Below are 22731 nucleotides of genomic sequence, written 5' to 3' on the forward strand. Positions count from 1 at the left end.
TTGCGTTTTTAGTAGAGATGGGGTTTCACCATGTGAGCCAGGATGGTCTCAATCTCTTGACCTCGTGATCCCCCCACCTCGGCCTCCCAAAGTGCTGGGATTACAGGCGTGAGCCACTGTGCCCGGCCTGTTCTTCTATTTTCTAAAACAGTTTGTGGAGAATTCTATTATTTCTTCTTTAAATATTTGATAAGACACAATCTGGCCTTGTGCTTTTTTGTGTGTGTGTGGGAAGGATTTTAGATTATTAATTCAATTTCTTGATATCCTACCCTTTTTAAGTCAATCTTAGTAATGTAAGTTTTTCTAGGAATTTGTTCATTTCATCAGAGTTGTCAAATTTGTGGACATAAAGTTGCTCATAGCATTTCTTCATAATCCCTTGAATTTTTGTAGGGTCTGTAATGATGTTCTTTGTTTTATTCCTGATTTTGGTAAATTGTGTCTTTTTTATTCTGGTCAACCTATCTGTAGGTAAAAAGAACCAACTTTTGGTTTTATTGCTTTTCTCTAGTGTTTTTCCATATACTCTTTGATTGATTGTGGTCTAATCTGTAGTATTTCCTACCTTCTGCTTGCTTGGGATTTAGTTGGCTTTTCTTTTTCTAATTTCTTAAATTGGAAACTCAAGCTATAGATTGAAGACCTTTCTTCTTTTCTGCTATAGATGTTTTAAGTACCAATTTAGCTATACCCCATAAATTTTGATGTGTTATATTTTTATTTTCTTTCTTTTTTTTTTTTTTTTAGACCGAGTCTCACTGTTCCACCCAGGCTGGAGTGCAGTGGCGTGATCTCGGCTCACTGCAAGCTCTGCCTCCTGGGTTCACACCATTCTCCTGCCTCAGCCTCCCGAGTAGCTGGGACTACAGGCACCCGCCACCATGCCCGGCTAATTTTTTTTGTATTTTTAGTAGAAACGGGGTTTCACCGTGTTAGTCAGGATGGTCTCGATCTCCTGACCTCATGATCTGCCCGCCTTGGCCTCCCAAAGTGCTGGGATTACAGGCGTGAGCCACCACGCCTGGCTATTATGTTTTTATTTTCTTTCAGTTCAAAATATTTTCTAATTTCCTTTGTGAATTTTTTTTCTTTGACCCATGAGTTGTTTAAAACTATGTTGTTTATTTGTGACCAGCCTGGGCAACATGGTGAAACCCCATCTCTACAAAAAATACAAAAATTATTTGGGTGTGGTGGTGCCCACCTGTAGTCGCAACTACTTGGGAGGCTTAGGTGAGAGGATCAGTGAAACATGATTGTGCTGCCGCACTCCACCCTGGGTGACAGTGAGACCCTGTCTCAAAAAAAAAAAAAAAAAAAAAAGCATGTTCTTTAATTTTGAAATGTTTAGCGATTTCCCATATTTCTCTCTGCTCTTCATTTTTATTGAATTCTGTTGTTGTTGGAGAACCTACTTTGTATGATTTCAATCATTAAAAAATTGGGAATTTCTTATGATCTATTATAAAATTTAACAAGCTTTCTCTATAAAGGGCCATATAATAAATATTTTGGCTTTATGTGCCATATGGTCTGTGTTACAACTATTCATTTCTGCCGTTTTGGTGCTGAAGCCTCCAAATACAATACATAAATCAATGGACATGCTTATGTTAGCATAAAACTTTATTTACAAAAACAGGCAGTAGAGCTGACTTTGGCCCTTGGGCCATAGTCTGCTGATCCTTGGCCTAGTATATAGTCTGTCCTTGAGGATGTTCTGGCTGTGTTTGAAGAGAATATAATATTCTTTTCTTGTTGGATGGAGGAGTATTACTGATTTTCTGTCTGTTTTTTTTGTTTGTTTGTTTGTTTGTTTTCTGAGGCAGAGTCTCGCTCTGTCGCCCAAGCTGGAGTGCAGTGGCACCATCTCAGCTCACTGCAACCTCCGCCTCACGGGTTCAAGCGATTTTCCTGCCTCAGCCTCCTGAGTAGCTGGGGTTACAGGCACGTGCCACCACACCCAGCTAATTTTTGTATTTTTAGTAGAAACGGGGTTTCACCATGTTGGTTAGGCTGATCTCGAACTCCTGACCTGATGATCCGCCTGCCTCAGCCTCCCAAAGTGCTGGGATTACAGGCGTGAGCCACCGTGCCTGGCCCAGTCTGGGTTTTTAATCAATGTATTAGTCTGTTCCCACGCTGCAAATAAAGACATATCTGAGACTGGGTAATTTATAAAGGAAAGAGGTTTGACTCACAGTTCCACATGGCTGGGGAGGCCTCACAATCATAATGGAAGGTGAAAGAGGAGCAAAGTCATGTCTTACATGGAAGCAGGCAAGAAAGTTTGTGCAGGGGAACTCCCATTTATAAAACCATCAGATCTCTTGAGACTTATTCACTACCGTGAGAACAGTATTGGGGAAACTGCCCCATGATTCAGTTATCTCCACCTGTCCCCACCCTTGACACATGGGGATTATTACAATTCAAGGTGAGATTTGGGTGGGGACACAGCCAAACCATATCAATCAGTTATTGAGAGTGGGATACTTAAGTCTTTATCATTTGTTGAACTCTTTATTCTTTCTGTCAATTTTTGCTGCATGTATTTTAGGTCTTATTGTTTGGTGGATATATATTTATAATTCTGTTTCTGATGTCATGACTCTCTTATAATATGATTTCTCTCTGTCTCTAATAATACCATTTTATCTGATACTAAGCCCTTTTTTTATTGGTTTGCATGATATATCTTTTTTCATTCTTTTACTTTCAATCTCTCTGTGTTTGAATCTATGGTGTGTTTTTTGTAGATGGCATACAGTTGGATCTTGTTTTTCCAGCCACTCTAACAATTTCTGTCTTTTGAGTGGAGTCTTTTTTTTTTAAATTTTATTTATTTATTTTTTTGAGATGGAGTCTCGCTCTTTTGCCCAGGCTGGCGTGCAGTGGCACCATATCGGCTCACTGCAAGCTCCACCTCCTGGGTTCACGCCATTCTCCTGCCTCAGCCACAGCTGGGACCACAGGCGCCCGACACCATGCCTGGTTAATTTTTTGTATTTTTTAGTAGAGACGGGGTTTCACTGTGTTAGCCAGGATGGTCTTGATCTCCTGACCTCATGATCCGCCCGCCTCGGCCTCCCAAAGTGCTGGGATTACAGGCGTGAGCCACCGCGCCTGGCCGAGTGGAGTCTTTTTTTGAGACGGAGTTTCACTCTTGTTGCCCAGGCTGGAGCGCAATGGCGTGATCTTGGCTCACTGCAACCTCTGCCTCCCAGGTTCAAGCGATTCTCCTGCCTCAGCCTCCTGAGTAGCTGGCATTACAGGCATGCGTCACCATGCCCAGCTAATTTTTGTATTTTTAGTAGAGATAGGGTTTCTCCATGTTGATCAGGCTGGTCTCAAACTCCTGACCTCAGGTGATCCACCTGCCTTGGCCTCCCGAAGTGCTGGAATTACAGGCGCAAGCTACTGTGTCAGCCTATTTTTTGTTTTGTTTTGTTTTGTTTTTTGTTTTTTTTTTCTTGAGATGATGTCTCACTCTGTTGCTCAGGCTAGAGTGCAGTTACACGATCTCGGCTCGCTGGAACCTCTGCCTCCTGGACTCAAGTGATTCTCCTGCCTCAGCCTCCCGAGTAACTGGGATTACAGGCGCCCACCACTGTGCCCAGCTAATATTTTTTGTATTTTTAGTAGAGATGGGATTTTACCATGTTGGCTAGGCTGGTCTCTAACTCCTGACCTCAGGTGATCCACCTGCCTCAGCCTCCCAAAGTGCTGGGGTTACAGGTGTGAGCCACCATGCCCGGCCAGGTATTTGTTTTTTTGTGTATCTTTTGGCTTTTTCTGTTTGTTTGTACCTCTTTTATTGCCTTATTTTGTGTTTAATAGTTTTTTTAAGCGTATGATTATTTTATTGCTTTTGTCTTTTGTTTTTACTATTTTTCAGTTGTTTTCTTAGTACTTGTCTGGTCATTATAATAAGCATCTTATAGCCCAATTTAACTAAATTAATGCTAATTTAATTCTGTAATATAGCTTCTTTCTCCTTTTATGCAATTGTTTTCATGTTTATTATATCTATATTTGCTATAAACCTAATAATTCAGTATTGTTATTAATCTTGTATTACATAAAACAGTAATAATTAGTTGAATTCTTTTTAAAAATTTAAGAGAAGGAAGTTAAAAAATACATACTTTAGTTAAATTATTTTCAGTAGAAACAGGGTCTTGCTGTGTTGCCCAGGCTGGCCTTGGCCTCCCAAACTGTTGGGATTACAGGCGTGAGCCATTGCACCTGGCCAAAAATACATACGTTATATGTACCTACATATTTGCTTTTCCTAGTGCTCTTTCTTTGGGTACAGTCGGGTTACCATCTGATGTCATTTTGCCTTTCAACTTGAGAGACTTCCTTTGGAATTTCTTGTAAGTCAGGTTTGCAAGCAATGGATTCTCTGTAAGTCTTTGAAATGTCTTTATTTCACCTTCATTTTTGAAAGATAGCTTTGCTAGATATCAAATTCTTGGTTGCTGGTTTTTTCTTTTAGCACTTTGAATGTCATTTCTTGCCTTCTGGCTTCTTTTGCTTCTGATGAGAAGTCAGCTGTTAATGTTGCTTCCCTGTACATGATGAAGTATTGTTTTCATTTTTGTTCTTGCTGCTTTCAAGATCTTCTGGTTTTGGCTTTAATCAGTTTCACTATGATATGTCTAGATGTGGATCTCTTTGTGTGTATTGCAGCTATAATTCATTGAGCTTCCTGACTCTGTAGATACATTTAAAAAAAATCAAGTTGCAAATTGTTTTTGGTCACCATTTTTGTCCTCTTTCACATCACTTCTTCTGGGGCTTCTAATTTGTGTATAGTGGTATACTTGACATTGTTCCACACATTTCTGAGACTGTTTTACTTTTTAAAAAATTTTTACTTTTTGTTTGTTAATGTTTAAGAGATAGGGTCTTGCCTTGCTGCTCAGACTCATGGCTGATTGCAACCTTGACCTTCTGAGCTCAAGCCATCCTCCTACCTTAGCCTCCCAAGTAGCTGGGGCTACAGGCATGCGCCACCACACCTGGCCGATTTTTAATTTCTTATAGAGACAGCGTCTCACTGTGTTGCTTAGGCTGGTCTTATACTCCTGGCCTCAAGCGATACTCCAACCTGGCCTCCCAAAATGCTGGAGTTATAGGCATGAGCCACTGCACCTGGCTTGTATTTCTTCATTGTTTTTTCTCCCATTTCTTCAAGTTAGATAATTTCTCTTGTCCTTTCTTCAAGTTTTCTGATTTTTTTCTTCCACTCTAGTATTCATCTTCAGAATTTTGATTTGGTTGTCTTTTTTTATTTTCCAAATTTATTTGTGCCCTGTTTATATCATGGTTCTCTTTATTTTTTATTTTTTTTTAACCGTGGTTCTCTTTAAAAATAATTTCTATCTCTTCGTTAAGATTTTCTTTTTGTTTGAGGCATTGTTCTACTATTTTTTTTAGTCCTTTAAAGAAATTTGGAGGCCGGGCGCAGTGGCTCACGCTTGTAATCCCAGCACTTTGGGAGGCCGAGGCGGGCGGATCACGAGGTCAGGAGATCGAGACCATCCTGGCTAACACGGTGAAACCCCGTCTCTACTAAAAATACAAAAAAAATTAGCCGGACGTGATGGCGGGCGCCTGTAGTCCCAGCTACTCGGGAGGCTGAGGCAGGAGAATGGCATGAACCCGGGAGGCGGAGCTTGCAGTGAGCCAAGATTGCGCCACTGCACTCCCACCTGGGCTGCACAGAGCGAGACTCCGTCTCAAAAAAAAAAAAAAAAAGAAATTTGGAGTCTGTTTGCGAAGTGTAGCATTTGGGCCTACTCGGGGGCATTTCCAACTCCATGTGGTTGTTTTTTCACATGCCTTTGGGTCACACTTTGCTGCATTTTTGAATATCTCATAACTTTTTGTTGAAACTGGACATTTTAGCTACTATATTGTAGCAACTTTGATTTCTGGATTTTTCCTCCTTCTGAGGGTTTTCGTTGCTTTATTGTTTTTATTTTTTAAGTAACTTTCCTGGACTAAATCTGTGGAATCTTTTTCTCACTGTGGTATGTGGCTGCTGGTTGCTGATGTCTCTGCTCAGTTTTTATACATATTTTTTAAATTATTATTTAAAATCAATTTGGGCTGGGCTCAGTGCTTCAGGCCTGTAATCCTAACACTTTGTGAAGTCAGGGCAGGAGGATTGCTTGAAGCCAAGGGTTTAAGACCAGCCTGGGCAACATAGTGAGACCCTGTCTCTGCAAAAAATAAAAGAAGTTAGCTGGGTGTGGTGGTATGTGCCTGTAGTTGCAGCCACCTAGCAGGCTAAGACAGAAGAATCGCTTGAGCCCAGGAGTTTGAGGTTGCAGTGAGCTATGATCGTGCCACTCCCTGGGCAACGGAGGAAGACCCTGGCTCTAAAAAAGACAAAATCCAAGCACGGGACACAGAATTGCAGCAAATAGCATTCTTTTTTTTTTTTTTTTTTTTTTTTGAGACGGAGTCTTGCTCTGTCACCCAGGCTGGAGTGCAGTGGCATGATTTCAGCTCACTGCAAGCTCCACCTCCCAGGTTCACACCATTCTCCTGCCTCAGCCTCCCGAGTAGCTGGGACTACAGGCTCCCGCCACCATGCCCAACTAACTTTTTTGTATTTTTAGTAGAGACAGGCTTTCACTGTGTTAGCCAGGATGGCCTTGATCTCATGACCTCGTCATCCGCCCGCTTCGGCCTCCCAAAGTGCTGGGATTACAGGCACGAGCCACTGCACCTGGCCGCGAATAGCATTTTTATAAGTAGCTAACCAGACATTCGAACTTCCACCCTTCTTTGTGACAGCTGAGGTCACTAGTGAACTCTGCTTCCAAGTACTCCTGCAAAGTACACCACAAGCCTGTCTATATTCTCAAGCCATCCGCTTCAGTTCATATGACCACACTTGCATGTCAGCAACAGAAGAGAACACACATCATACAGCATTTACAGCAGTGGACAAAGAGGTAGGGGAAATGCAAGTATTGGTTCATTTAATACATTCAACTAATGTGGGCTATCTAAGAACAAAACTCACTTAAAGTCTTTCAACAGATGTAGATGTTCTTTGAATGCAAAAAACATTCATACATCATTTGCTGTTATTGCTGTCTGCATACCCTCTCACCAAAGCTTCAGGATTGAGAGACACATATCACCAAGTTTAAAAATATCCATTATGGATCAGGCGTGGTGGCTCATGCCTGTCATCCCAGCACTTTGGGAGGCTGAGGCAGGAGGATTGCTTCGGCCTAGGAGTTAGAGACCAGACTGGGCAACATGGTGAAACCCTGTCTCTACAAAAGATAAAAAAATTAGCCAGGCATGGTGGTATGCGCCTGTAGCCGTGACTCAGGAGGCTGAGGTGGGAGGATCATCTGAGCCTGGGAGGTGGAAGTTGCAGTGAGCCAGGGTCGCACTGCTGCACTCCAGCTTGGGTGACAGAGTGAGGCTCTGTCTTTAAAAAAAAAAAAAAAAAACAGTCCATTCTGCACCACCAAGTTTTGTCATGTGCTCTTACCTCTTCACGTTCATGCTAGCCTTTCATATCTCAGCACCACCATCAATTGCACATAAAGTTTCAAAAGTGCACACAGCCTTTACCCTTGCCTTTGTAGCGTTGATACGATTTCATAAACTAAAGGGTCTGCTCAGTTTTTACCGTTTTTGGTTTTGTTTTTTTAATTAAAAAAAATTTTAAAGTCTGGCTTGCTGAAGTTACATCTGTATCTATTATCCTTCTGGTCAGTTAGCGATTGGTTAAAGGTTGTATTAAAACACCATGAGCCAGTAAAGCTTGCACCCTCTGTCTGTAGATCTTTGTGTGTTGGGAACTGCCTTCAAAGCTCATAATTTTTAATTTCCACTGGGCCTTTTTGAGTCTTTGCTGCTGCTATGTGTACGCTTATGGTCAGCCAGAGGTGTGTGGATAGTTTGGACCTTCTCCAATATCTGCATCATGAATGTGTGGAACATTTACCAAGGTCTCCTATAGTCTCTGTTTTCTGACACAGGATCTTGCTCTGTTGCTGAGGCTAGAGTTCAGTGGCACAGTCATGGCCCTCTGCAGCCTCAGCTTCCCGGGCTCAAGCAGTGCCCCCACCTTAGCCTTCCGAGTAGCTGGGACTACAGGTGTGTGCTACCATCCCTGGCTAATTTTTAAATTTTATTTTTTGTCAAGGTAGGATCTTACTCTGTTGCCAGGTTATGTTTGTTTGTTTGAGACAGGGTCTCATTCCGTTGCTTAGGCTGGCGTGCAGTGGCACAGTCATGGCTCATTGCAGCCTCGACCTCCTGGGCTCAAGCCATCCTCCCACCTCACCCGCCTAAGTAGCTGGGAGTACAGGCACATGCCACCATGCCCAGCTAATTTTTGTATTTTTTGTAGAGACACAGTCTTGCTATGTTGGCCCAGCTGGTCTCAAACTCCTGGGCTAAAGCAGTCCCCGCACCTTGGCCTCCCAAAGTGCTGGGACTACAGGCATGAGCCATGGTGCCCAGGTCCCTTAGTCTTGTTTCTGGATTTCCCTTTTAAATTTCTATCTAATCTCCTGTTCTTTTGCTTGCACCAACCATGACAGCAACCTCAGGCTAGCTGAGCCCTTGGTCTTGCTTGTTTGCCACCAAGAAAGCGAACTGTTACTGCCTGCCTGTGGGTATGGGGTTTTTCTGTGCTTTGCTTCACAAGTCAGCCCCCTCTGTCAGTGAAGCTGCTGGTTTTCATGGCTTTCCCTGCCTTGGTAGAACTACCTTTCCCAGTCACCTTGGGGGTATGTGATGGGAGCAGCCATAGACTGCCACTGTTCTTACCATAGGTTCAGTAGGTTTCTTGTGAATAACCACAGAGAAGATAACATTTGAAAAAAGACCTGAAGGAGATTGAGGAAGTATTCCATGTAGATAACTGTGGGAAATAACATTCCTGGCAGAGGGAACACCTTCAGAGCTCTAAGATGAGAGCATATCTAGAGTGTAAAAGGGATGATAAAGAGGCCAGTGTGGCTCCAGTGGAGTAAAGGTAAAGGAAGGACATCAGAACAGACAAGACTACTTAGGCCACTGTAAGGACTGGCTTTTATTTTGAATGAAATGGGGAGCTGCCAGAGAGCTTTCAGCAGCAGAAGTGGGACATAATCTGTCTTATAATTTTAATAGCAGCCATAGTGAAATAGCAGCGAGAGTGGCAGAGTAGAAGACTCAGGATGAGAGATTCTCGTGATTTAGACAAGGGTAGTAGCAGTGGATGTGGTGAGAAGTGGTCCAGCTCTGGATGTATTTTAAAGGTAGAACACATGGGATTCTTCTGATGGATTGGAGGTGGTGGGGAATGAACAGATTCAGGTCTTTATTTAAAGGGAAATTTCCTGTTTATTGTCTGCAAATGATTTTTCTGTTCCCTATATTGAGTCCTATAATTTTTAAGTCCTTGTATTGATTCCAGTTATTCTTAGATTGGATCATTTTTTGTTCCCTAATGTTATCTTCTATTATAATTGTTTTCTCTGTTTTTTCTTCTGAAAGGTTTGCTTCATTGCATTCATTCTATTTTCATCTGTGTCTATTCTGTTTCTTGCTATTTCTGACTTCTTATTGGATCCATAATTTTTTTCCAGTTTTTCTTTAACTTTGCAATCTGATTTACTTTCCTTCTATTTTTATCATTTATTTTATAGCTTTTTTTGAATTCAACTTGAATTCAAATTCTTATTTGAAATATTCAAATAAGTATTCAAGGAGGAATCTGCTTTTGGTTTGAGGGTTTATATTGTTTTCCAGGTTGGGTTCTTCATCTGTTGCATGGAAATTTCTTCTCTCATTGTATTTCTCTTTTTTTATAGTAGGTTTGATAGCTGCTATGTCATTTTTATTTATCTTCTTCATGTTATATGTGGATAGCTCTGTTTGCAGCTACAGAGTATAGATGAAATAACCTTGATATGTTTCTAAACTTCTTTGGGACCTATCTGACCCACCCCTGCTCATCCACTATGGTTAGTTGTTGATTGTTGCTTTCATCCTCTTTTTTTTTTTTGACACAGAGTTTTGCTCTTGTTGCCCAGGCTGGAATGCAGTGGCGTGATCTCAGCTCACTGCAACCTCCGCCTCCCGGGTTCAAGCAATTCTCCTTCCTCAGCCTCCCGAGTAGCTGGGATTACAGGCATGCACCACCATGCCCAGCTAATTCTGTATTTTTAGTAGAGATGGGGTTTCACCATGCCGGTCAGACTGGTCTAGAACTCCTGACCTCAGGTAATCCACCTGCTTCAGCCTCCCAAAGTGCTGGGATTACAGGTGTGAGCCACCATGCCCGGCCTCATCCTGTTTTCTTTAACCTGAGGACATGTGCTGTTGAGAAGCTTGCCACTGAAGGGTTCAGTTGTTTTTGGCAGATCTGAGTTCTGTTCTTTTTTCTAAAATCTTATTAAGTGTGCCCTATCCAGGGGTATATTCTGTATATTTCCATAGGCTTTGGCTGGTTCTCACAGCTTGGCTCAGTGTTCTGGAAGATGGTAAGTTTCAAATACTCACCCTGCTTTTCCTGAGGTCCCACTGTGGTTTGTAGAGGTTCTTAATCTTGATGGAATATTTTTTAAAACTTTCGCAGAATTACCTACTTGACTCTTCAGTCTCCTCTTTTCAAATTGGAAATTATTTAATATAAGTGTACTCTCCTTTCCTTCTTGCATTGCATTTTGTAAATGTTTTTCCAGTCAGGTGCCCAGGTATGAGTTCCATAATCCTTATAATGCTTAAAAAAATTATTTTTCAGCCAGGCATGGTGGCTCATGCCTGTAATCCCACACTTCAGGAGGCGGAGGCAGACTGATCACTGGAGGTCAGGAGTTCAGGACCAGCCTGGCCAACATGGTGAAACCCTGTCTCTACTAAAAATACAAAAATTAGTCGGGTGTGGTGGCAGGTGCCTGTAGTCCCAGCTCGTTGGGAGGCTGAGACAGGTTAATCGTTTGAACCCAGGAGGCAAAGGTTGCAGCGAGCCAAGATCGCGCCATTGCACTCCAGTCTAGGCAACAAGAGCATGACTCTGTCTCCAGAAAAAGGAAAAGAAAAAAAAAATATTGGCCAGGAGCAGTGGCTCACGCCTGTAATCTCAGCACTTTGGGAGGCCAAGGCGGGCAGATTACTTGAGGTCAGGAGTTCAAGACCAGCCTGGCCAACATGGTGAACCCCTCTCTCTACTGAAAATACAAAAATTAGCTGGGCATGGTGGTGCATGCCTACAATTCCAGCTACACGGGAGCCTGAGGCGGAAGAAATGTTGAACCTGGGAGGTGGAGGTTGCAAATTCCATCTCGTTTTTTTTTTTTTTTTTAATTGTTAGCACATCTCTGCTGGCAGGAACTTATGCTTTCTTTACCCAGAAATCTTGGGCATGTATCTTTAAAATGTTTAGTAATATAGAAAAACAGCATTTGTATCTTTGTAATTTAAAGGAGCTTCCTGCAATATGGACTAATCTCATTTTGATGTTTCAGTTTTCCATGTTAAAATTCCTTTGCACTTCCCTCCTTTCATGTGATAAAACATTTTAAATGGTTTGTTTTCAAGGCATGATAAATCTAAGTACTGGCAGCTGGCCTGCAAATGTAGCAAACTGCACAGCTCATGCACCTAGGTCACAATAAGCGAATAGAATGTAGAGGAGGGGTCAGCCCATAAAAGGGAAGAAAGTTTCGTAATTGGGAAATCAAAATTTAAGCAGAGAAGGAGATGGGGTATAACCTTATAAGGGGGATAATAAAACTTCGGCAATGTCCAGGAAGATTGTAACCCCATAGTACTCAACCAGTGAGGAACTGGTGGAGGGACTTGTGTGCTAGAAGATAAATTACCTGTTGTGACTGTCCCGGTGTGCCTGCCCACCAGACACCTGATCTTGCAAGACCATTATTATTATTATTATTTATTTTATTATTTATTTATTTTTTGAGATGGGGTTTCACTCTTGTTGCCCAGGCTGGAGTGCAATGGTGCGATCTTGGCTCACGGCAACCTCCGCCTCCTGGATTCAAGTGATTCTCCTGCCTCAGCCTCCTGAGTAGCTGAGATTACAGGCATGCACCACTATGCCCAGCTAATTTTGTATTTTTGGTAGAGACGGGGTTTCTCCATGTTGGTCCGGCTGGTCTTGAACTCCCAACCTCAGGTGATCTGCCTGCCTTGGCCTTCCAAAGTGCTGGGATTACAGGCGTGAGCCACTGCACCTGGCTAGACCGTTATTAAAAAGTCTCACGTTTGCTGTTCTTCGTGCCTCTAAGTCCATTCTTTGGGTTTGTACAGTGAGTGTGTTTCTCATTTCACGTCCCCCCCCCCCCCCATATTTTTTATAGCTATATTTGAGCTGGGAAACCTGAGGAGAGGTTAGATATAAGAAATTCTAGGCTCACACCTGTAATCCCAGCACTTTGGGAGGCCGAGGCAGGCGGATCACGAGGTCAGGAGTTCGAGACCAGCCTGGTCAAGAGACTAGCCTGGCCAATATGGTGAAACCCTGTCTCTACTGAAAAAAAAAAAAAAAAAATTAGCCAGGTGTGGTGGCAGGCGCCTGTAATCCCAGCTACTTGGGAGGCCGAGGCAGGAGAATCGCTTGAACCTGGGAGGCGGAGTTTGCAGTGAGCTGAGATTACACCATTGCACTTCAGCCTGGGCAACAAGAGCGAAACTCCGCCTCAAAAAAACAAACAAACAAACAAAAAAAGAAATTCTAGAGGAAGAGAATAGACCCTTGATTTGGATGGGAAGATCAAATGGCTCATGCCTGTAATCCCAGCACTTTGGGAGGCCAAAGCAGGCGGATCACGAGGTAAAGAGATAGAGACTATCCTGGTCAACATGGTGAAACCCCATCTCTACTAAAAATACAAAAATTAGCTGGGCGTGGTGGTGCACGCCTGTAGTCCCAGCTACTCGGGAGGCTGAGGCAGGAGAATCACTTGAACCCGGGAGGCAGAGGTTGCAATGAGGAGCCAAGATCATGCCACTGCACTCTAGCCTGGTGACAGAGCAAGACTTCATCTCAAAAAAAAAGAAAGATCTTAGGGAGTGGTAAGAGGTGTAACATTTTAGTTTGCAAAGCAGAGATGGGGATATTTCAGATGGATACAAAAAATAAGACTAAGAGAACATACTTTCTAAACTAAGAGGATAATCTGATTCTAAGATTAACTTTTCTTAAGAAAAATTCTGCTTTTCAGCAGCTACATTGTTTCTATAGTACTTAAAAACTAGTTTTGTATACAGAAATACAAAAGAAACCTTGTGGATATCTCAGAAATTTTGTACAGATAGTCATTACTGTAATAGTATATGTGTGTTTGTGTTTTTCCCTCCAGAATCTCCCTGGAAAAGGAGACATGAATGTCTGCAATGATACTTCCTGACAAGAAGTTGATACAAGAAAAGGAAAGGAGATTAACAGCTAGTGAGCAGAATTTCGAACAGCAGGATTTCGTATTTTTTGCTTCCAACTGCACACTTCCGTTGCCCACTTTTAAATCAGAGATACCTACACTCAAAACCCAGACAAGGCAAAAGGATACTTTTCTTGTATATTTTTTGAGATCGAAGAAACGACAATGTCCAGGAAACAGAACCAGAAGGGTAAGATTACATGTGGGCATAAATTGTTAAAAGCATAGTTATAATGATCCCCATTTATAGCTGTATATTTAAAAACTGTCCTTCTAATGTGTTTTGAATGGTTTTACAAGTATTTATGGATATTAGATTATCGCTTTGTGTATTACTAGTCTGGGAATTAATTCATATAACAATAGCTTTTCTACTCACACAAACTTAGCAAATTGTAATATGCTTAACAATCTTGAAGATGCATTTTTGAATACTGAACATATGTTAGGGAGATGTGTTAAGAGGGCTAGCTTGCTGCAGGATATTCTATGTTGTTTGAGTTGGCATTTTTCTAGAGAAAGGCAGTGGAGCAAGAGTAAATGTTTCTGGGTTTTGTTTCCTTCTTTAGCTTTCCTTCCGGGAATGTTCTTCTAGCTTCTTATCTAAAGTGAAATACAAGGTGCAAAGAGTCAGGAAATAGAAGGGTAGTTATAATGGAGGGAAGGACAACAAAGACTTTGTAAAACCTTTTTCTACTTTTCTAGAATAGCTGCAAAAATTTCAAGGGACAAAGTGAACAACAGCACTAGAACTATTGTACATAATTGGAATATATTGATTAAAAGAATGATCATAGATATCTTGGCGTTTTCCCCTCATTCAATTTAATTTCCAGTTCAAAGTTAATGTTCTTTAATTCAAAGCAAAGCTATTCATAGATCCAGGTCTCACATGTTAAATATGAAGAAAATTCTTTTAAACCTAATTTTGACTTGATAATTCAAAAACCTTATAAGAAAGTAAATAAACCAGATTTGTAGTTGTAGCTTCATTGTGTAGTAAATCTATAGGAAGAATCTGAGCTCTAAGGAATGCTTAGATTACTAAAGCTGAACTGTTCTGTGGAATGAAATTTACCAACGGAAAAGTTTTTTTTAATAACCCAAGTTTGTTTTTTCTTAGTTGTTATAATTCAGTTTGTTTTTTCCCAGTTATGCTTGAAACATTGAGCATCTGTTTTCACCCTGCAAATGAGAAATACTATAGTAAAAATAGGGTTCTGGAAAAGTTGAGCATTTAATTTTTCCAAAAAAAAAGTTAACTTCAGCAAATTACTTTGACCTTTTTAAAACTAGAGAGTCTTTATTTCATGTCTGTGTTTTGCCAGAGCTGTAGAAAAAAAGTATCATTGTGAAGCAGGATATTTCCCTGGCCCCTTTGCAGGAGTCTCTCCTTTACTCAGCCTGCCTCTCTCAACTCCTCACAGGAAGGAGAGCGCGAGTGAACAAGGAAGGAACTGGAGGGCATGAGTGCTGGAACCGGCTGGCTGCTTCAGTACCAGCAGGGGTGAACTCTGTGTGGGCCCCGTGGCAGCATCCAGGCTGTGGGGTGCCTGTGACCCCCGAAGCTCCAGAGGGCATGTTACAGTGCTCTTCTGGCTCTGCCATTTGTGGACGGCTTAAGTGTTAACAGCTCAGTGGGCCCTTTCCCCCCGTGTGTGGGGTGGCTGCCCTCTGCCAGCAAGGGCAAAGGGCCAGTGTGACAGCCTTTTGTATCTGCACTCGTGGCTCCTGAGCTCTTGTCTGGTGTCCAGGAAAAATGAGGTCACACGAATGAATTGAAGGATGGTAAATGCGGGAGATTTTATTGCTGATGAAAGTGGCTTTTAGCAGGAAGGGGAGCTGAAAAGGGGTTGGTGGGGTGCGGGTAGATAATCTTTCCCTGAAGTCCAGCTGTCTCCAGCTAGTTTTTTCTCCAAAGTTACACCATCAAGCTGTCCCTCTAAAGTCAACCCACTTCTCTCCGACATCCTGACGTCCAGCTAGTTCTCCTCTCTGCCAGCTGAGTCTGGGGTCTTTATAGGCACAGAATGGGGCAGGGTGGGGCCATGGGTGGTTTAGGAAAAGGCAACAAACAGGAAAACAGAGATATAAGTTCTCACATTGGGCCAAGGTTTCAGGCATTTTGGCTTGAGGGTGGCGTTTTAACCGGTGACCCACCCTTTTCTGCCTAGAATTTCTCTGCCTCCTGTCCCCATCAGTTGCTTTTTTCTAATTACTATAAAATGAATTTAAATATTAACTATAAAAGAATTTAAATTTTAGACTACAACATAGGCCGGGTCTGGTGGCTCACGCCTATAATCCCAGCACTTTGGGAGGCCGAGGTGGGTGGGTCACAAGGTCAGGAGATTGAGACCATGCTGGCTAACACAGTGAAACCCCGTCTCTACTAAAAATACAAAAAAAAAAAAAATTAGCCGGGCGTGGTGGCGGGTGCCTGTAGTCCCAGCTACTCAGGAGGCTGAGGCAGGAGAATGGTGTGAACCCAGGAGGCGGAGCTTGCAGTGAGCAGAGATCATGCCACTGCACTCCAGCCTGGGCAACAGAGAGAGACTCTGTCTCAAAAAAAAAAAAAAAAAAAATAGACTACAACATAGACACTAAGTGCTTACCAGTTTTGGTTGAACTTAGCCTAGATTTACACTTAGTTGGAAACAAAGTAAAGCTTATGTGTTGTTGGGACTTTCTCTGAAACAAATCTATGCATGTAATTCATTTGCATGTCTGATATTTGGTCCCATGACATATAAAATATTACAACATTTCATTTATTCATTTATACGTTTAAAGTGTCATTGCTTTGGGTTTTAGTAGTCTAATCTGTAAATACACTGACTTTATCAACTTGGTTATACTACATTAAAAAGAAGGGTCTATGGTAGTCATTGTTCTTAGTGGTATTTCATTTACAGGCTCTCATTTTGTAATGAGTTATGTTTTTATTCAGCAATAGACCATGTTTTCATATTTTCCTTTTGTCAGTAATACTTGTAAATTCCTTATTTAATGAAATACTTAGTGGAGTTAAACTTGAACAGCTTAAATTAAATTAAGTCAGTTTCAGTTAAAACTATTGATTACTCCAAGCCTATTAGCCAATATCTAGCAGAAGTCAGAGCTGTGCTTCTTAGAGTGTGGGCTGTAGACCCTATTCCTGTCTGTGAACTGGAGAAGTATATAGAAATGAAGAGTGTTTAGGAACTCTTTGATAGTGATTTGACAGTGTGGCAACATCTAAGCCCTTTTAAACACAGTTTTATTGAGGTATAATTTAAATACCTTAAAATTTGCCCAAGTGTATAATTTGATTATTTTTAGTAAATTTATGGAGTTGTGCACCATCACCAAAATCTTGTTTTAAAACACTTTCCGACTGGGTGTGGTAGCTAAAGCCTATAATCTCAGCACTTAGGGAGGCTGAGGCAGGAGAATGGCTTGAAGCCAGGAGTTCAAAATCAGCCTGGACAACATAGTAAGACTCTGTCTTAGCCAGGTGTGGTGGCTCACGCCTGTAATCCCAGCACTTTGGGAGGACAAGGTGGGCAGATCATCTGAGGTTGGGAGTTCGAGACTAGCCTAACCAACATGGAGAAACCCTGTCTCTGCTTAAAAAAAAAAAAAAAAAAATTAGCTGGGTGTGGTGGTGCATGCCTGTAATCCCAGCTACTCAGGAGGCTGAGGCAGGAGAATCGCTTGAACCCGGGAGGTGGAGGTTGCGATGAGCCGAGATCGTGCCATTGCACTCCAGCCTGGGCAACAAGAGCAAAACTCCATCTTAAAAAAAAAAAAAAAAAAAAGGACTCTGTTTCTACAAAAAATAAAAAAATTAGCCAATTATACTGACACATGCCTGTTACAGTCCCAGCTATTTGGGAGGCTGAGGTGGGAGGATTACTTGAGCCCAGGAATTTGAGGCTACAGTGAGCTATGATCACTACACTCTAGCCTGGGTGACAGAGCGGGACCATGTCTCTTAAAAAAACAGAAACAAAACCCTCTTTTCCTTATCCCCCAATATTCTCTTGTTTGTGATCAATTCCTGCTCCCTACCCCAGCCACAGGCAAACATTGATCTTCTGTCACTTTATTTTTGCATTTTCTAGAAATTTCATATACACATATTAGTACAATATAGATATTATGTCTGGCTTCTTTTCACTTAGTGTAATGTTTTTAAGGTTCCTCCATATTGTTGAATGTGTCAGTAGTTTGCTCCTTTTTACTACTAAGTAGTCTTGTTATAACACATTTATCCATTTAACAGTTGCTATTCATTTTGGATTGTAGTTTGTGCTGTTATGAATGATTGTCAATTATGTACATTTGCTTACAAGTCTTTATGTGGACATGTGTTTGCATTTCTCTTGTGGAGGTACTTAGGAGTGGACTTCTTTAACTTTGTAAGAAACTTCCAGACTGTTTTCCAAGGTGGCGATACACAGTTTTACAATCCCACCAGCAGTGTATCAGGATTTCATATTTTCCATATCCTCACCAACACTCGGTATGGTCAGTCTTTTTTTTTTATTATTATAGCTATCTTAATAGATGTGTAATGGTATCTCATTGTGGTTTTGATTTGTACTTCCCTAATGACTAATGATGTTGACCATCTTTTCATGTGATTATTAGCCATTTATATTTTTTTTGGTGAAATGTCTGTTCAAATTCTTGATCCATTTAAAAGTTTTGGAGTCTTATTATCGAATTCTAAGAGTTCTTTGTATATTCTGAATACAAGTTCTTTATCAGGTACATGATTTGTAAGTATATTCTCCCATTCCATGGCTTGTCTTCTACTTTTCTTAATGGGCCGGGCGCGGTGGCTCACAGCTATAATCCCAGCACTTTGGGAGGCCAAGGCAGGTGGATCACCTGAGGTCAGGAGTTCAAGACCAGCCTGGCCAACCTGGCGAAACCCTGTCTCTACTAAAAATACAAAAATTAGCTGGGTGTGGTGGCGGGTGCGTGTAATCCCAGCTACTTGGGAGGCTGAGGCAGGAGAATCACTTGAACCCGGGAGGCGGAGGTTGCAGTGAGCCAGGATCACGCCATTGCACTCCAGCCTGGGTGACAGTGTGAGACTCCATCTCAAAAAAAAATTCTTAATGGTGTCTTTTAAAAAGTAGAAGTTTTAAATTTTGATGAAGCCCAATTTATCTTTTTTTTTTTTTTTCTATCACGGATTGGGTTTTGGTATCGTGTCTGAGAATTCTCTGCCTAACTCAAAGTCAGAAAGACTTTTTCCCAGAAGTTTTATAGTTTTATCTCATATATTTTAAAGTCTGTGATCCTGTTTGAGTTAGTTTTTTTGGGTTTTTGGGTTTTTTTGAAACGGAGTCTCTCTCTGTCACCCAGGCTGGAGTACAGTGGAGCAATCTCAGCTCACTACAACCTCCGCCTCCCAGGTTCAAGCAGTTCTCTGCTTCAGCCTCCTGAGTAGCTGGGATTACAGGCGCCCACCACCACGCCCGGCTAATTTTTGTATTTTTAGTAGAGACAGGGTTTCACCATCTTGGCCAGGCTGATCTTAAACTCCTGACCTCGTGATCCACCTGCCTCATGCCTCAGCCTCCCAAAGTGCTGGGATTACAGGTGTGAGCCACCCCGCCTGGCTGAGTTAGTTTTTATATGAGGTATAAGAGTCTAAGTTTACTTTTTTGCATATGGATATCCAGTTGTTACAGCACGTTTTGTTGACGAGGCTATCCTTTCCTCCATTGAATTGCCCTGACACCTTTGTTGAAAATCAGTAGACCATGTGAAGATTTATTTCTGGACTCTGTTCTGTTACATTGATGTATATGTCTGTCTTTATGCTAGTACACTGTATTGATTAGTATGGCTTTATAGTAAATATAGTTTAATAAGTAAGGAAGATACATCCTCCAATGATTTTCCCCACAGAATTTTTTGGGCTATTTTGGTTTCTTTACATTTACATACAAAATTTAGAATCAGATTGTCAGTTCTTACAAGAATATCTGCTTGGAATCTGATAGAGAGTGCACTGTATCAGTAGGCCAGTTCATGTAGAATTATCATCTTAACAACATGGAAGCTTTCAGTCCATGAACTTACTACTATATCTCTGCATTTATTTAGATCTTAATTTCTCTCAGCAATGGTTTACAGATTTAAATGTACAACTCTTGCATTTTTCTTAAGTTTATTGTTAAATAATTTGTTCTTTGTTTTTTTTTTTTTTTTTTTTTTTTTTGATGGAGTCTCACTGTCATCCAGGCTGGAGTGCAGCAGCACAATCTCGGCTGACTGCAGCCTCTGCCTCCCAGGTTCAGGAGATTTCCCCTGCCTCAACCTCCCGATAGCTGGGACTACAGGCCCACACCACCATGCCTGGCTAATTTTTTTTTTTTTTTTTTTTGTATTTTTAGTAGAGACGGGGTTTCACCGTGTTAGCCAGGATGGTCTCGATATCCTGACCTCGTGATCCGCCCACCTTGGCCTTCCAAAGTGCTGGGATTATAGGCGTGAGCCACTGCGCCTGTCCCAGATATGTATAACTCTTTATATTTTCCTGACTGATCTCTGAGTCTAGCACTGGTTAGAAGAAAGCAGACTTGGGGAGTAATTCAAGGTTGGAAGTGGGCTTGTTTGTGATTCCCACAGATTGCTAATGCACTTTACATTGTTCCTAATTTCCTCTGAAGACAGACTCTAGAGATTAGGGAAGGATGAGATCAAGCCATTATAACTTGTTTTATATTTTGGGAGTCCTGATTTTGTCAGATGATATTTTTCTCCTGTATCTGACTATATATCAGAATCATCTTGAACATTTAAAACATCTTTTTGCATCTCTCTCTCTGGGGATGGTACACTAGACTCTTTTTTTCTTTTTTTTTGAGACGGAGTCTCGCTCTGTCGCCCAGGCTAGAGTGCAGTGCAGTGGCGCGATCTTGGCTCACTGCTAGCTCTGCCTCCTGGGTCTATGCCATTCTCCTGCCTCAGCCTCCTGAGTAGCTGGGTCTCCTGCCTGAGCCTCCTGAGTAGCTGGGACTACAGGCACCTGCCACCACGCCCGGCTAATTTTTTGTATTTTTAGTAGAGACGGGGTTTCACGGTATTAGCCAGGATGGTCTCGATCTCCTGACCTCGTGATCCACCCGCCTCGGCCTCCCAAAGTTCTGGGATTACAGGCATGAGCCACCACACCTGACCTTCTTTTCTTCTTTTCCTTTCTTTTCTTTTTCTCTTTTCTTTTCTCTCTTCTCTTCTCCTTTTCCTTCTCTTCTTTTTCTCTTTCTTTCTTCTTTTTCTTTCACTCTTTTCTTTTCTTTCTTGTTTTTTTTTTTCTTTTTTTTTTTGAAATGGAGTCTTGCTTTGTTGCCAGGCTGGAGTGCAGTGGCACGATCTTGGCTCACTGCAACCTCCACCTCCCAGGTTCAAGCAGTTCTCCTGCCTCAGCCTCCTGAGTAGCTGGGATTACAGGTGCCCACCACCATGCCCAGCTAATTTTTGTATTTTTAGTAGAGACGGGGTTTCACCATGTTGGCCAGGCTGGTCTCAAACTCCTGACCTCAGGCTATCTGCCTGCCTCGACCTCCCAAAGTGCTGGGATTACAGGCGTGAACCACTGTGCCCGGCCTTTTTTTTTGTTTTTGTTTTTGTTTTTGTTTTTTTGAGACAGAGTCTCCCTCCGTCACCAAGGCTGGAGTGCAGTGGTGTGATCTGTGCACACTGCAACCTCTGCCTCTGGGGCTCAGGCCATTCTCCCATCTCACCCCCTCAAGTAGCTGGGACTACAGATACGTGTCATCATGCCTGGCTAATTTTTGTATTTTTTGTAGAGATGTGGTTTCACCATGTTACCCAGGCTGGCCTCGAACTCCTTGGCTCACATGATCCACCTGCCTCGACCTCCCAACGTGCTGGGATTACAGGTGTGAACCGCCACACTGGGCCTAGAATTTTTTTTCTTGCTACGTAATTTTGCTGAGCTATAGAACTTTTGAGAACTGTGGTAATGTGGTATAATTATTTTTAATAGATGTGTTTGAAAGTAACCATAAGTCCACTTCTTTCTTCTTTTATAAGTTCTGTAACCATTTGATTTACATAAAGGAGTACTTAATAAAAATCTTTACAAAGTAAAATAAGGCTGGGTACAGTGGCTTACACCTGTAATCTCAGCACCTCTGGGAGGCTGAGGCAGGAGTATGTATCACTTGAGATCAGGAGTTTGAAACTAGCCTGAGTAACACAGTGAGACCCCATCTCTACAAAAAAATAAAATAAATTAATGGCCAGGCACAGTGGTTCACGCCTGCCATCCCAGCACTTTGGAAGGCCGAGGCAGGCAGATCACTTGAGGTCAGGACTTCGAGACCAGCCTGGCCAACATGGTGAAACCCAGTCTCTACCAAAAATTAGCTGGGCGTGGTGGCAGGCGCCTATAATCCCAGCTCCTTGAGAGGCTGAGGCAGGAGAATCACTTGAACCCAGGAGGCGGAGGTTGCAGTGAGCCGAAATTGCGCCACTGCATTCCATCCTGGGCAACAGAGTGAGACTCTGTCTCAAAAAAAAAAAAAAAAAAAAAAAAGCCAGGCATGGTGGTGTGTGCCTGTAGTCCCAGATATTTGGGAGGTTGAGGCAGGGGAATCACTCAAGCCTGGGAGTTTGAGGCCACGGTGAGCTGTGATCCTGTCACTGCACTATGGGCTGGGTCTCTAAAAAAAAAAAAAAAAAAAAAAGAAAAAACAAAGTAAAATAAAACTTTTCACAGCTGAGAAATATGGGCCAGGCACAGTGGCTCACATCTGTAATTCCAGCACTTTAGGAGGCTGAGGCGGGCAGATCACTTGAGGTCAGGAGTTCAAGACCAGCCTGGCCAACATGGTGAAACCCCATCTCTGTTAAAATACAAATTAGCTGAGCGTGGTGCTGCACGCCTGTAATCCCAGCTGCTTGGGAGACTGAGGCAGGAGAATTGCTTGAACCCAGGAGGCAGAGGTTATAGTAAGCCAAGGTCACGCCACTGCACCCCAGCTTGGGCAACAGAGTGAGATTCTGTCTCAAAAAAAAAAGAAGGAAAAAACATGCAACTCAACACTCTCTCCCTGAAAAATGTTTGATTTTTCATTCATCTCATTCAAAAAGGTTGAACTGTACTTTTTTGACAACTCAAAGACAAGATTTTATTCTGGCTACCAAGTTGTTTCTCCTTTTTTTTTTGAGATGGAGTTTTGCTTTTGTTGCCCAGGCTGGAGTGGTGTAATGGCACAGTCTTGGCTCACTGCAACCTCCACCTCCCAGGTTCAAGTGATTC

The 22731-nt window shown here is 42.1% G+C and overlaps 1 protein-coding gene across 18 annotated transcripts in view, besides 1 other annotated feature; it reads left to right on the plus strand.

The window, feature by feature from the left end:
- The window catches only part of SPATS2 (spermatogenesis associated serine rich 2), a 160574-nt gene that overhangs the window by 80557 nt on the left and 57286 nt on the right, over positions 1 to 22731 (plus strand). For 15 of the 18 annotated variants that reach the window (NR_120663.2, XM_047429409.1, XM_047429412.1 and 12 more), the window contains one exon: positions 13362 to 13629. Coding sequence is in view for 17 of the 18 variants with exons in the window: in XM_047429409.1 (XP_047285365.1) it covers positions 13605 to 13629 (25 nt within the window). In the remaining variant the exon portion in view is untranslated. Of the gene's footprint in view, positions 1 to 6779; positions 6978 to 13361; positions 13630 to 22731 lie in introns of those variants that run through there. The other 3 variants (XM_047429407.1, XM_047429408.1, XM_047429410.1) reach the window with 2 other exon arrangements.
- Positions 5761 to 6261: an enhancer, noted in NCBI's record as "H3K4me1 hESC enhancer chr12:49846952-49847452 (GRCh37/hg19 assembly coordinates)". NCBI's record gives its function as "activates a minimal SCP1, AML or CMV promoter by ChIP-STARR-seq in primed H9 embryonic stem cells {active_cell/tissue: H9 hESC(primed)}" and the evidence as "EXISTENCE:reporter gene assay evidence [ECO:0000049][PMID:30033119]".

This window comes from Homo sapiens, chromosome 12 (assembly GCF_000001405.40).
Source record: "Homo sapiens chromosome 12, GRCh38.p14 Primary Assembly".
Taxonomy (NCBI): Eukaryota; Metazoa; Chordata; class Mammalia; order Primates; family Hominidae; genus Homo; species Homo sapiens.